The sequence below is a fragment of the Homo sapiens genome, chromosome 3 (genome assembly GCF_000001405.40).
Source record: "Homo sapiens chromosome 3, GRCh38.p14 Primary Assembly".
Taxonomy (NCBI): Eukaryota; Metazoa; Chordata; class Mammalia; order Primates; family Hominidae; genus Homo; species Homo sapiens.
Window position 1 is genome coordinate 180,618,759 of NC_000003.12, and position 15,224 is coordinate 180,633,982.

At 37.0% G+C, this 15,224-nt stretch overlaps 1 protein-coding gene across 1 annotated transcript in view, besides 1 other annotated feature; it reads right to left on the reverse strand.

Annotated features, from left to right (window-relative positions):
* The window catches only part of CCDC39 (coiled-coil domain 39 molecular ruler complex subunit), a 65,482-nt gene that overhangs the window by 4,751 nt on the left and 45,507 nt on the right, over positions 1–15,224 (reverse strand). Inside the window, exons 14-16 of the mRNA NM_181426.2 lie at positions 12,711–12,834; positions 1,053–1,212; positions 501–607 (exon numbers count right to left, since the gene is read on the reverse strand). Coding sequence (NP_852091.1) covers positions 501–607; positions 1,053–1,212; positions 12,711–12,834 — 391 coding nt within the window. The remainder of the gene's footprint in view (positions 1–500; positions 608–1,052; positions 1,213–12,710; positions 12,835–15,224) is intronic.
* Positions 8,360–8,409: a silencer, noted in NCBI's record as "silent region_14926". NCBI's record gives its function as "represses an Ori minimal core promoter by ATAC-STARR-seq in GM12878 lymphoblastoid cells {active_cell/tissue: GM12878}" and the evidence as "EXISTENCE:reporter gene assay evidence [ECO:0000049][PMID:35858748]".

Genomic DNA, 15,224 nt, shown 5'->3' on the forward strand with positions numbered 1-15,224 from the left:
AGTATTCCATGGTGTATATGTGCCACATTTTCTTAATCCAGTCTATCATTGTTGGACATTTGGGTTGGTTCCAAGTCTTTGCTATTGTGAATAGACAATGCACATTCTTTTATCTTTCAGTGATTTGCCTTAGTAAGTACTTTCTACTAGATTATTATTTTTTCTTTCAAACTATTTTGTTTTAAGGAGCAATCTTAATGTGATCTTTAAGAAATTAAAGTTCATTAAAGGATTAATGGGTAGATCATAATAACTATGACCTACCAACTAATAACAAGTAATCATCAGGGCTTACCACTAGGATTTTAACTAATTTACCTAAGACTCTGAGCACTTGTTTTTGTCTCCTTTAAATGAGACTGTTATCTCTTACTATCTACTTCCCTAAAAGAGATTCTAAATAACTGTCTTCTTGGTGGAAGAGCAAGAGAATAGAAGTAGCAGTAATGATAGTTGACTTTTATTGAAGGCATATTACTAAAAATGCCTGTAGAATTTACCTGGATGTCTTCTTGAAGTTCTCTGATTTGTCTTTGTTTGTATCTGTATTTTTCATCAACAGCTCTTTTTTGTTCTTCTAGTTGAATTTTTAGCTCATACTCATCACCTGAAATGTAGAACATTTTTAGTTTAAAATTTCAACATACTAAGTAGAAATCAATTTTAAAGTATTATGTAAATTGCACCAATATTTTTGTTATGAAAGTTTAAATTTTTTATATCCACTTGTAGAAAAACACTATGGGCATGTAGTAGCCATTTCTTGTTTTGTCAACATAGAGCAGCAATATGCTGCCATTTTTTTTCAGTCTTTGAATTAATTACCCTAGAGAGGTGATATGCCATACAGATCCTGAACTAATAATGGAAGTAACACCCTAGAAAACCACTTAGAAAAAAAAATGTCGTGGGGGGAGGAAAGAAAAGGGATTAGTTTTTCTGACCCAATCTAACATAGTTTGCTTTTGTTCTTCCTCATGTCTCACAGTGTTCCTTTTAACTATACACTCGTCACTGTATATATGTATAAAAAAAAGTTAACTCCTACATACTAGATGGAGTCACTTTTTTAAAAGATTGCTTATAATTGTTGTTACAGCTGTTCAGCACTTGAAGGGTATTTTCTAGAGCGTAGATTTCTTTTTCAGCTTTGTTGATCTTGGCATCCAAACAGTCACCTTCCCTTTGAAGTTCTTCTTTTTCTTGAGCAGCCTATGAAGTACAGAATAGAACTGGTTGAATAAAAGCATTTACTATGGGAAGAAATGCCTAATGGCTGTCTTTGGAGCAGAAAATAGTTGACTTGTGACAATAACAGTTTATCTCATGGCCTACATATGGCACCAAGCATTTATTTGTTGTGCTTGATTTACAGTGAAAGCCCAAATTATCAGGCCTTCAAAATATGGCACATAGGATACAGAATTCAAAACCGTGATGGAAATGTAGTAACTAACCAAAGCTTATATAAAAATTTCCAGCAAAAATTGCCAAAGAGTTAATCAAGTATAAATATTACTGGGAAGAAAGGGAGGGAGGTTTGATACTAGATATTAAATCAGAAGAATGTTTCTGGCCTGAAAGAGGTTCAGGAACACTTTATTTCAAAATTTAGGAGTAAAAGAGGTAAAATGGCATGTATTTTGCCACAATTTTAAAAATAATTTTTTTAAAAAAAGATCATTGTAATAAGTGTGGCTGAAAAAGATGAAGTCTATGAATTGCTAAAGGCCAAAATTATTTCCTCTAAGAGTGGACATACTCAGTGACTTTCTACCAGGGTAATGCTGTCACTGGGCTAAGCGGTTCTCTAGAGCTGTACCTAAACAATTCCAAAGAACGTCCTAAAGGCTGACATAGATAGTATGCATATATATACATATATATGTGTATATATATGCAAGAAAATTTTTAGTCAAAATCACTAATAATTTCATTTAAATTTATTCAGTTCTTAGATGTATGTATTTAAACCTGAATGTAGTCAATTAGAAATATAAATTTTTTTCTGATTATTTTTATTTGTAAAAATTTATGGAGTACAAGTATATTTTGTTACATGGGTATATTGTGTAGTGGTGACTAGTGTACTACCTATCATTGGAATACTGTACATTGTACCCATTAAGTAATTTCTCATTATCCATGTCCCTCTGATACCTCCACCATGCTTCTGAGTCTTCCGTGTCTATCACTCCACGCTCTACCTCCATGTGTACGCGTTATTTAGCTCCCACATATAAGTGAGAACATATGGTATTTGTTTTTCTGTGCCTGAGTTGTTTCTCTTAAGATAAGGGCCTCCAGTTATATCTTGTTGCTGTAAAAGACAGGATTTCATTCTTTTTTCTGTCTGGATAGTATTTCATTGTGCATATATACCACATTTTCTTGATCCAGTCATCCATCAATGGACACTTCGGTTGAATCCACATCTTTGCTATTGTAAACAGTGCTGCAATAAACATAGGAGTGGAGGTATCTTTTTGATTTAATGATTTCTATTCTTTTGTGTAGATACCAGGTAGTAGGACTGCTGGATCAAAAGGTAGTTCTATTTTTAGTTACCTGAGAAACCATTCTGTTTTCCATAGAGGTTGTGTTAATTTACATTCCCACCAACAGTGTATAACCATTCATTTTTCTCCATATCCACACCAACATCTCTTGTTTTCTGTCTTTCTAATGGCCATTCTGATTGTTGGCTTTAATTTACATTTCTCTAATGATTAATGATGATGAGCATTTTTTCATATTCTTCTTGGCCATTTGTTTGTCTTCTTTTGAAAAATGCCTACTCATGTCCTTAGCCCACTTTTTTTTCTTCCAACTTTTAGGTTCAAGGGCTACATGTGCAGGATTGTTACATGGGTAAATTGTGTGTCATGGAGGTTTGGTGTACAGATTTTTTTGTCACACAGGTAATAAGCATACTTTCCCCAGTGTATGTTCTTGTCAGTTTTGTCCAAGATCAGTTAGCTGTATGTGGGTCTATTTCTGGGTTCTCTTTTCTGTACCATTGATCTTTGTGTCTCATTTTATACCAGTACCATTGATGTTTTGGTTACTATAGCCTTGTGATATAATTTGAAGTCAGATGATGTAATCCCTCCAGCTTTGTTCTTTTTGCTTAGGATTACTTTGGTTATTTGGATTTTTGTGTTGCATGTGAATTTTAGGATTGTTCTAATTCTGTGAAAAATGAAATTGGTATTTTGATAGGGGTTGCATTGAATCTGTAGATTCCTTTGGGCACCATGGTCATTTTACCAATATTAATTCTTCCAATCCATGAGCATGTAATGTTTTTACCTTTGTGTCATCTATAATTTCTTTCATCAGTGTTTTGTAGTTTTCCTTATGGAGCTCTTTTACCTCCTTGGTTAAATACATTTCTAGGTACTGTTTTTGTATCTGTTATAAATGGAATTGCCTTCTTCATTTGGTTCTCAGCTATATCATTATTAGTGTTTAGAAATGCTATGGATTTTTGTACCTTGATTTTGTATCCCGAAACTGCTGAATTCATTTATCCAATCTAAGATTTTTTTTGGTGGAGTTCTTAGGGCTTTCTAGATGTAAGATCATATCATGTGAACACAGATAATTTAACTTCCTCTTTTCCTATTTGAAAGACTTTCATTTATTTCTCTTGCCTGATTGCTGTGGTTAGGACTTCCAGTACTATGTTTAATAGGAGTGGTGAAAGTGGGCATCCTTGTCTTGTTCTAATTCTTACGGGAAATGCCTTCAGCTCTTTCCCCATTCGATACGATGTTGGCTGTGGGTTTGTCATAGATGGCATCTATTATTTTGAGGTATGTTCCCTCTATGCCTGGTTTATGGAGGGTTTTGTCATGAAGGAATGCTGAATTTTATCACATTGCTTTATCTGCATCTATTGAGATGATTATATGATTTTTGTCTTTAATTGTGTTTATGTGATGTATCATGTTTATTAAGTTGCATATACTAAACCATCCTTTCATCCCTGGCATAAAACCCCCTTCATCATGGTGTATTATCTTCCTGATGTGCTGTTGGACTCAATTTGCTAGTATTTTGCTGGAGATTTTTGTGTCTGTGGTCTATGTTCATCAGGAATATTGATTTATCGTTTTCTTTTTTGTGTTGTGTCCTTGTCTGGTTTTGGTATCAGTGTGATACTGGCCTTATAGAATGAGTTAGGGAGCATTCCCTCCTCCTCAATATTTTGGAACAGTTTCAGGAGGATTTGTATTAGTTCTTCTTTGTATGCTTGGTAGAATTTAGCTGTTACTACATCTTACCCTGGGCTTTTTTGTTGTTGTTTGGAGATTTTTATTATTATTATTATTATTATTATTATTATTATTATGGATTCATTCTTGCTATTTATATTATCGGTTTATTCGGGATTTTTGTTTCTTCCTGGTTCAACCTTGGGAGGGTGTATTATATGTTTCCAGAAATTTATCTGTTTCCAGGAATCCATTTACTCTAGGTTTTCTAATTTATAAGTTAGTATAGTCCCTGATGATCTTTCATATTTCTGTAGTTCAGTTGTAATGTCTCCTTTTTGTTTTCCGATTTTGTTTGCTTGGATCTCTGTTCTTGATTAGCTAGCAGTTTATCAATTTTGTTTGTCATTTGAGGAACAAAGTTTTAATTTCCTTGATCATTTGTAAATTTTTTTGTCTCTATTTCATTTAGTTTTGCTTCTGATCTGTTATTGCTTTTGTTCTGCTAACTTTGGTTTGGTTTTGTTTTTTTTCTTGTTTTGCTAATTCCTTGAGGTGCAGTGTTAGGTTGTTAATTGATGATCTTTCTACATTTTTGATATAGGCATTTAATGCTATAAACATCCCCCTTAGCATTCCTTTTGCTCTATCCCACAGGTTTTGGTATGTTGTGTATCCATTTTCATTCATTTCAAAAATTTTTTTAAATTTCCATCCTGATTTCTTTGTTAACCCAGTGATCATTTAGGAGCATATTGTTTAATTTCCATATATCTGTAAAGTGCCCAAAGTTTTCTGAGCATTGATTGCCGGTTTTTCACTCCACTGTGGTCTGAGAAGATTTTTTTTTTTATTTTTTTTGAGACTTGTTTTCTGGCTTGTCTTGGAGATGTTCCATGTGCTTATGAAAAGAAGGTATATTATGCAGTCGTTGGGTAGAATGTTCTGTAGATGTCTGTTAACGTCCATTTGGTCTAAAGCCCGATTTAAGTCCAGTGTTTCTTTGTTGATTTTCTGTCTTGATAATCTGCCTAGTGCTGTCAGTGGGGTGTTGACCCACCATTATTGTCTTGCTCTTTCTTTATTTCAATCTGGTAATGCTTGTTTTATGAATCTAGGTGCTGCAGTGTTGTGCATATATAATTAGGATTGTTATATCCTCTTGCAGAAGTAATCCCTTTATCATTATATAATAACCTTCTTTGTCTTCTTTTACTGTTTTGATTTAATATCTCTTTTATCTAATATAAGTAAAGCTACTCCTACTTGCTTTTGGTTTCCATGGAATGTCTTTTTCCACCCCTTTACTTTCAGTATATATGTCTTTTCCAATAAGGTGAGTTTCATATAAGCAGCATATTGTTGGATCACATTTTTTATCCATTCCACCATCTATATGTTTTAATTGGGTCGTTTGATCCATTTACATTCAAACTTATATTGATATGTATGATTTTGTTCCTGTCATATTTTCAACTGTTACCTAGTTGGTTTATAAATTATTTCTTTTTTTTCTCTGTGTGGTCGTCTGTGTTTTGGTAGAATTCTGTTATGTTGCCAGTGATGCCTTTCTCTTCCTCTTTTGTGTGTTTGTTTTATAAGACCTTTGAGTCCTGTACTTTTGTGTGTTTTCACGATGGTGAATACTGACATTTTGTTTCCATTTTAAAACTCCTTTGAGCATTTCTTAGAGGACCAGTCTAGTGGTGAAGAATTCCCTTAGTGTTTGCTTTGCTGGGTATTTCTTCTTCCTTTATGAAGCTTATTCTTGCTGGATATAAAATTGGGGGCTGACAGGTGTTTTTTGGTTTTATTTTGTTCTGTTTTTGTTTTTGTTTTCCTTTTAGTGCTTTGAAAATTCTGTCCCATTCTTTTCTGTCCTATAAGATTTCTGCTGAGAAGTCTGCTGTTATTCTGATGGGGTTTCCTTTATAGGTGACTAGATGCTTTTCTCTTGCTAATTTTAACTTTTCTCTTGCAGTTTCACTTTGACTTTAGACATTCTGATTACAATACACCATGATGAGGTATTGTTTTGAAATGTATTTTCCTGGGGATTGCTGGGCCTCTTGTGTCTCGGCGTCTAACTCTCTTACTAGACTTGAGATGTTTTCATCAATTATTTCCTTAAATGGGCTTTCTAAACTTATTTCTCTCTCTTACCCCTCAGGCATAACTGATAATTTGTAAGTTCAGTCACTTTACTAGTTCCAAACATCTTGAAGGCCTTGTTCACTCTTTTTTATTCTTTTTTTTTTAATTTGTCTGACTGGATTATTTTAAAAGACCTGTCTTCAAGGTCTGAGATTCTCTCTGTTGCTTGTCTAGTCTGTTATTGACTCTTTCTTTTGCTTGTGTAGTCTATTTTTCTTTTTTTTTTTTTTTAAGATATCTCCTTGGTGAATTTTTTGCTCATACCCTGAATTGATTTCTGATTTCTTTATATTGGTTTTCAGATTTCTCTTGCATCTAATTGAGCTTCTATCAATATTTTGAATTTTTCATCTGGCATTTCAAGGATTTCTTTTTGAGTGGGATCTATTGCTGAACAGTTGTTATATGGTGGGTCACATTTCCTTGCTTTTTCATGGTTCCTGTGTCCTTCCATTGATAGATGCATATCTCATGTAACAGTTGCTTCTGCTAATTTTTTGAAATTGCTTTCCTAGGAGAGGATTTTCTCCTGAAGAAGTACATATGTAGTTGGTGTTTTGATGTGGGGTGCCTGTGGTAGTGTGGTCTTTGTATGATTTCTTAGGCAGTACACAGGTTCAGTGGTATCTGTGATTTCCTCAGTGACTTAAGGTATGGTTATTAGTTGAGCTTTGGTGAAGTTTTGCTGGGGTCTAGGATGCCAGGTAAGCCTGTCTTTGGGCCCCATTGGTGGCAGTGGTGGGCTGAGTGTATCTATTCTCAGGCCAGAGAGTAGCTTATACTGTCACTGGTGTTAGTGGATCCTGGAAGGCTGATTCTTGGGCCTCTGGGTAGCTTGCTCAGATGTTGGTAGTGGGAATGGTGGGCCCGACATGCAGGCGGGTTTTCAGGCCCCTGGGCAGCTGGTGTGATGCAGGTAATGGCAGTAGCGGTGGTAAAGCAACTCACTGGAACCCAGAAGGTCCATACTGGTGTTGCTGGTAGCTGCAATGGGTTGGACATGCTGGTCCTCTGGCCTGTTGGTAGTGCATGGGAGTGGGTGTCAGCTGTGGTGGTATTTGTAGGTTGAATTGCCCCAACTTCAGACTCTAGCAGGACTGATCATGTGCCAACAGTGATGCACTGGGTTAGTAAATATCTGGGCCCCTGGATGGCATACTTGAGTACTTGGGGGATGGGTTTGGGCCAGCAGACTAGTCCCAGGCCCCTTGGTAATACCTTTAAGGAGGTTCTGGCTGTGACAGTCAAAGGTGGGGTGGTTCCCAGGACACTGGCAGAATACTCAGATATGGGCTGTGGTGGCTGTGCTGTAGGCCTGCCACCAGGGAGGGTGCAACCTTTCTCAGGTGGAACAGCATGGGTAAGAAGCTGTAGGAAGTCCCACAGCAGCCATAGTGGGACAGCAGGAATCGTCACCAGAGTACATGGGAGTGCCTGGTCTCTTTTCTCCCTCCTTGGATCGGAGACAGCTGCAGCAATGTCAACCTGCACTTGGCCCAAATGTGGGGCACGGTGTAGCATTAAACTCTCCAAATGCTCCTGGCTGTGGCCTTGCAACCAGAATGCAGGGTTCCTCTCAGGTGAGGTGCTCAGGTGGGTAACAAGTTGTGAGGAGTGCAGTCTTCTCACACCTCCGTCTCACAACAGCCAGTAGCAAGGTCGTGGGAATTGTCTTAGGGGTGCACTGGAGTGCTTGGTCACCCCTCTCCCACCTTGGACAGGTGGTAGTTGCAGTAGTGTTTCAAGGCACAGCCCAGCGTTAAATTCTCAAAATGGCAAAATCCTAAATCTACTACATCAAGAAACAGAATCCACTACATTGAAAAACAGACTTACATTGAAAAAACAAAAATTAACTTCTAAGTGGCAAGGTTTTTCCCAGCAGTGAAAATGCTATGGGCCCATGGCCAGAGAGGTTGTGGTTCCTCTCAGGTGATTTACATGGGTAGGAAGCTGTGGGGAGTACAGTCTGCTTATGTGTCACTTTCACAGCAGCCTGCAGCAGGGCAGGGGGAATTGTAAAGATAAGTTTTATTAGTAATATTTCCATTCTTAACATTTTCACTGGCATTTATTTTATCGTGCTTCAGAACATTAGTTACACATATTTTGTGATAAGTATTACATAATTTTAAAAAGTTTAGCAAAAAAATTATAGAAATTATATCTAATTCCTTTGAGTCTCAAATTGGTAACCCCATTTCATCTGAAATATAAAAGAATAGTGGGAAAATGAGCTGGAATGAGCCAAACAAATTTTAGTTGTGGACTACTGGGTCAGTTTCTTCATTTTTCAAATGAAGGAGTTGAATTTGTTCATTTTATGCAAATTCCTGATATAATTCCATGTATAGCTTGAAGTTCTAAAATTCTGATTCCATTCGCTTCTAAATCAGAGATGATATATCTCTCAAAAGTCTGTCCAATATTTTCAAGTAACTTAATTGGACAGTGTCATTAAATTGCAGTCAGAACTATACTGTTTCCTTATAAAGACTAAGAGGAACTTGGAAATGAGATTTGAAAAATACTAGTCCTTCACTGGTTACTAATTATATTTTTCAGTTTGGCCTTTAAGGGTTAGATATTATAAGATACTAGAGTTGATGAAAAAGCCATGTATGCCCCATAGAACAAAGACCAAAGACAGGAGCTTACTACAAGACCAAAGACAGGAGCTATGAATTGAGCTGTGTCCCTTATAAGAAGATATGTTGATATCCCAACCTGTGGTACCCCAGAAGGTGACCTTATTTGGAAATAGGGTCTTTGCAGATATAGTCAAGTTAAATGGAGGTCATTAGGTTGGTCCTAATCTGATATAACTGGTATCCTTATTAAAATGGGAAATTTGGACAGAGGGAAAACTGTGTGAAGAGACACAGGAAGGAACACCATGTAAAGATGAAGGCAGATTTCAGGGTGATGCATTTACAAACTAAGGAACACCAAAGATTGTCAGCAGACCACCAGAAGCTAGGAGAGAGGCATAGAACAGGTTATTCTTCATAGCCTTCAGAGGAAACCAACCCTATCAACACCTTCATCTTGGACTTCTAGACTCCAGATGTATCAGATATATATTTCCTTTTTTTTGAGACGGAGTCTCACTCTGTCGCCCAGGCTAGAGTGCAGTGGTGCAATCTTGGCTCACTGCAAGCTCCGCCTCCTGGGTTCATGCCATTCTGCCTCAGCCTCCCGAGGAGCTGGGACTACAGGTGCCCACCACCACACCCGGCTAATTTTTTGTATTTTTAGTAGAGATGGGGTTTCACCATGTTAGCCAGGATGGTCTCGATCTCCTGACCTCGTGATCCACCCACCTCGGCCTCCCAAAATTCTGGGATTACAGGCGTGAGCTACTGCACCTGGCCTGAGACATATATTTCTGTTGTTTAAACCATCTAGTTTATTGTATTTTGTTACAGCAGCCCTAGAAACTAATAAAAAGGGTCAACAAGCTTTGTCTGTAAAGGGCCAAATAGTAATTAGACTTTATGGGCCATTCAGTCTGTCGAAACTACTTCATTCTGTCATTGTAGCATGTAAGCAGCCATAAACAATATATAAATGAATAAGTGTATGTATTTTGTCTTCCAGTACTTACTTACAAAACAAGTGGTGGGCAGCATTTGGCTGGAGTGCATAGTTTGCTGAGGCCTCATCCACAACATTCAGAAAACACAACAGTGGTTAGCATTGTAATCAAATTCCTATTACCCACAGCCATAAACATAATATATGTATCCATCAGGAGAGATCCCTTTGTAGATAACATAAGAAGAATAAGGGAAGGGAAAAAATTTTGAACTGACTAAATTTAAATCCTAAATCTACTACATCAACAAACAGAATCCACTACGTTGGAAAACAGACTTACATTGAAAAAACAAAACTTAACTTCTAATTGGCAAGGTTTGTCCCAGCAGTGAAAATGCCAAGGTACTATTTTCAAATAGTTAAAAATTCTTATACAAATATGAAATGAACTTTTATTAAAGGTTTTACTCAACTTGTTAATGAAGAGCCAGTAAGATATTTAGACTTATTTCAAAGAAGAATATGAAAACAGATTTTATATTATAGACATGTTGAATCAGAAATGCTGACATGAATTTGCTGGTAGATGCAAAACATATTAATATATTTTAGTGTAATAAACTTCAGTGCTTGGGTTATCTTTTCTACAGAGCAGAGTTGTATTTCTACTGGCCAAAATTCATTTACATTGTTAGCAGCAAGATATCACTTACGTTACTATCAGTTGTCTGCAAGTTAGTTATCATCTATACCTACAGAGTTGTAAAATAAACTAGTCAATAGAGAGTCGAAGGTCTGCACTCCTATAGAATCAGATAATACCTGGAGGGCCCACTAGAAAATGCCAACACCTTGGTATCACCATGCACTGGCATCATTGCACCCATGGTTTGCTTTTCTCTATTTTTCAGGCCATAATTTTTCCTGATATAAGCTAGACTGAGTTTAGTTATTATTTAAGTTTCATTTTTACACATCTGAGACTTGTGAAGTGTTACCAGTAAAAAGTGTAAACATGCTATACAACAACAACAACAAAAAATGGGAATAACTGCGTGGCAAGCTGTGGATCCCAGAGAAGATGGAAGATAAGAAATATGGCATCAGGACATTGAGAAAGTAACTGATAGCCTCAGTTCATTTAGCATAATCATTATTCTGATATTTATCCAGCACTTTCACTGTAAACAGAAGGAATATTCTTTCTTCATATAAAACTTGTCTGTGTTCCTGTGAGTTAGGTTAATCAGCATCATCACAGTAATAATAATAACTAACATTTATTGAGGACTCATTTTGTGCCAGCCACCGTCCCAAGGGCTTTACATGTATTTTCTCTTTTCTCCCAACAAAAGTAACAATATTACCCTCTTCATTTTCCAAGTGAGGAAACTTAGGCCTCACATGGTTAAGTAACTTATTCCTGGTCACCTACCGAAGCAGTGGTAGGATATGGATGAAGGCACACTTAACACCAGTACTTTTAGGTAACCCATCACACCACTTGTTAGAGAAACTTAATTGGAATTGCAACATCTTCCGATTTCCCAATACCTAAAAAATTAGAGCCTACCCTTTATCCTTCAGGAACTTTTAAAACCTGAGAGGAGAAAAGTCCTGTTTGGGCAGAAGCCTGAGGTATTACAGACTGACAAGTTATAAGAAAGTTTTGAGAGCTGGGACTGATTTCTCATAGGGAAGGCAGAATTTCAAGCAAAGTGACAGGCATACCATACTTGCTGCATTTGTTAGGGGCAGATTTGAAGAAGAGCTACAGGAGAAAATTTGGCCAATTAAGTTGGTAGAAATCAAAGGGAGAGAGCATCCACAAGAGCCATTCTCTGAAGGTGTGAACTGGAAGATGATCTCACCCCTATTCATGTATGGTACAGGGAAGTGAGTCAAAGTTACAAGTTCCATCCCTTGTTTGTAGCATTTTGAGTAATTTCCTAGACCTTTCTGTAAAGGAAATTACTCCTGTTCAGGGTATTTTCTACATGGGAAAGATGAATATAGCAGTGCTTAGAGAATAGCATTCAATTCCACATCACTTAATGAATTTCCCCTTTGGGTTAAAGATAACCATGGGATGACAGACAACTGTCAAACATCAGAAAAAAACAGATTCACCTGGTCTGTCTCCCTATAATATCATATTATAGGGATATATGGGCAGGGAAGCAGCCCTCTTCCTCTCTGAACAGCTGCCATACCAGGACTCTAATGGTAAACTGGAGTTTAAAATTCAGAGGTGGTGTAGCTCCAAGAAATGCTAAGGTCCAGCCAGGGTGTGGCATAAGAGTGGGTGGCTATAGTGAAGTAAAGGAAAGCTTTAAGCCTCAATTGTTGAACAGGTTGTCACATGCATACCAAAGACACTTAGAGTGATAATAGGTCTTAAAAAGATTACGAATCTTGCCTAGGAGAAATGACATTCTGCAAATAATAGCAAAAAGAAAAAAGTGTCAAAGAATGGTCAAGTAGAATGACCTGAACTCAAAAGAGGAAGACTTCTGGAGCAAGTTCACAGTAAGTTTTGGGAATCAGAGGGCAGTGCTTGACCTCACGGACTAGAGGTATATAGAATGAATACTGCTTTCAGTATCTCCATTTAGGAATGAATGTTTTGGCCTTTGTTAAGTGTAATAGTGGCCCTAATTAAGTGAAATAGTTGCTAGATTTCATGGAGGGAAAGTTGCAATATTGTTGTTTTTTTATTTAAATTCAGAGGATTATGATGAATGAGTTAACAAAGAAAATTTCATACCATCACAACTGTGAATCAATTAAAATTACCTTTATTACATAATAGGCCTGTGTTTTCTCCTCTTCTCCTTCAGGAGGCAGCATAACAACAGTCAGAATTTCATATCTATTCTTCAGCTTCTCAATTTTACTTAGCCGCTCGCGAAACTCAGTGCTAATAAGAAAAAGAAACACTGAGAAATGAATAACATACTTTACAATTTTTAAAGGACTATCAAGTGTTCTTATTGAAGACATTTGGATTTGTGTTACTACTAAACTCAAACAGGTTAAATTTGTTCTCACGTTTTAATTTAATAAAAAGACTATCAGGTGTTCTTATTGAAGACATTTGGATTTGTGTAACTACTAAACTCAAACAGATTAAATTTGTTCTCACGTTTTAATTTAATAATTCAGTGTGAAGGATCTGATATTTACCCTACTTGAAAGCTGACAAGTTAGCCTGCCACAGTTTCATTGTGTCTTTTGCTGGCAGAAGACACAATCCCTGTTTCAGAGACAACGGACTTTATTTCTCATGACACAGCAAGAAGCATAAGATTCCTGTTTGACTGGCTCCCCTTGCTCCCTACATCCCATGGGAGCAAGAAGGGGCTCAAGTGGATGCTGCAAACAGTAGATTTGCATCACAGCTGAGGAATCTCAAGCCTAGGTAACCCAAATATTTTATAGTGGGAAATAAGCAAACATGCCTAACTTTTGCTCCAGAAGGAGATACTACCTCTAGTTTCTGAGGCTGTTTGCTATTCAAACGTCTTTAAAAAGATAGTCCAAACAGGGCGGTTGAGAATTGTCTTCCAGAATTCAGATTCTTAAATCTGTTGGTTACTTTCTCCTTTTATTTCAGTAAATTTATATTTTATGAGCTATTTTTTAGAACTTAATACTAGTAATCTTAATATATGCCTGGCAATATGGAGAGTGCCTCAACTGCCTGCTACAAACTCATGCAAGTAAGCTCTCTAACCATGGTGAAAAAGAAATCCTCAACCTACCAGTTTTTCTACTGCTAGAGAAAACTCATGGTAAGATATATTTAGTGTCATAAGTTACAGTTTTTCTTATTTTTAATTATCACTCATTTCCTCAGAAAATATTTACTCATCCTTTATGTGATCATAAAAACTTGCTGGACTTCAAGATTGTGGACCAAGCACAGTATATTACTCTTCCTTTCTAAAATAAAAAAAGATTAAAAAAAACAGCAACATAGCAGTTCTGAGAATCAGAAAGGTACAATAATTTTTCATGAATTCATGGAAAACAGATGGGGTAAGATTAACGGAAAAAAAATAGACACACACGGAAGACCACTGCAGAAGCAGGAGCCATTTTCCACCAAAGAAGTCTGAAAAAAATCCAAACTCAGAAACAAGAAAAAGAACAAGAGTGATCTGTGAGGCTATAATCAACAACTCTGGGCCATTCCCCTCAACCCCTCAAAACATACAGAAATGTCAGGAATGCTTTCTGCTCCAATGATAACCAAAAAATTACCACAGTTCCTAGCATGTATGTTGAAGCTAGAGAAAGAGGTAAAAACATGACAGTGGAAGTAAATGAAAAAGAAAGGCAGTTCTACTTAGGAATGAGATAAAGTCTTCATCACTCAAAATAAACACCTCCTAACTTTTTGTAACCATGAAATCCTAACCCTGCTTAATAGCTATTACGCTCTTTACAGGACAAACTAGCACGAGCCTACAATCAGCCCTCCCATTTAGAGGAGCGATCTGTTGGAGAAAACCAGAGATCCACTTAATTGCAGAGGAAACCCTTACCAGTTAGCTACCAATATCCACCGATTAATAAGCATTCATTAATAAATATTAACAAAGGACCATTAAACATTTATGGAAAGCAAATGGCAAAAATGAACAAAGAACAGACCTGACACATAATGCATAGAAGACAATGTTCAGTCTTCTAATTAGTACCATCTAAAAGAGAAGAGGATATTGATTCCAAAAACACCCATAAAACAAGATGGGCTGCTATGAAAATAAAGGACTAATGAAAGAATAACAGTGCTTGCAAATAAGTTTTCTTCTTCAATGTAAGAGCAGTGAAGAATAAAGATTTAATGAGCAATCTGGAGAGAGAGACAAGGGGGGAGATTAGGCAGAGGAGAGGGGAATAGGGAGAGAGAGATAAAGAATATCTGAGAAAGTAAAATACAAGTAGAAAAAAGAAACCTGGAGGACAGACCTAAAAGGGCCAACATCTAGTAAAAATGAGCAACAAATGGAGAAAACAGGAGAGTATGATGGTAAGAAAAAAATTAAATAGAAAAATATTCTCCTGACCCAAAGGAAGACTTGAATGAAATAACTAAAATAGACCATACAGAAAGGAGTTCAGCCCCTCTTCCCTGGGAACCCCTATCCCCTGACTCTTCACCAGGCAGGGGCCCCAGCCCGTGACCACAGAACAGTTGCTCCACCCATGGCTGAGCATACCCACTGGTAGTGGCCTGGAGTGTCCTGCAGAGGCTCCCAGAGGCACATGATAGCCCCTCTGCCACGACCACAGCAGCAGTTC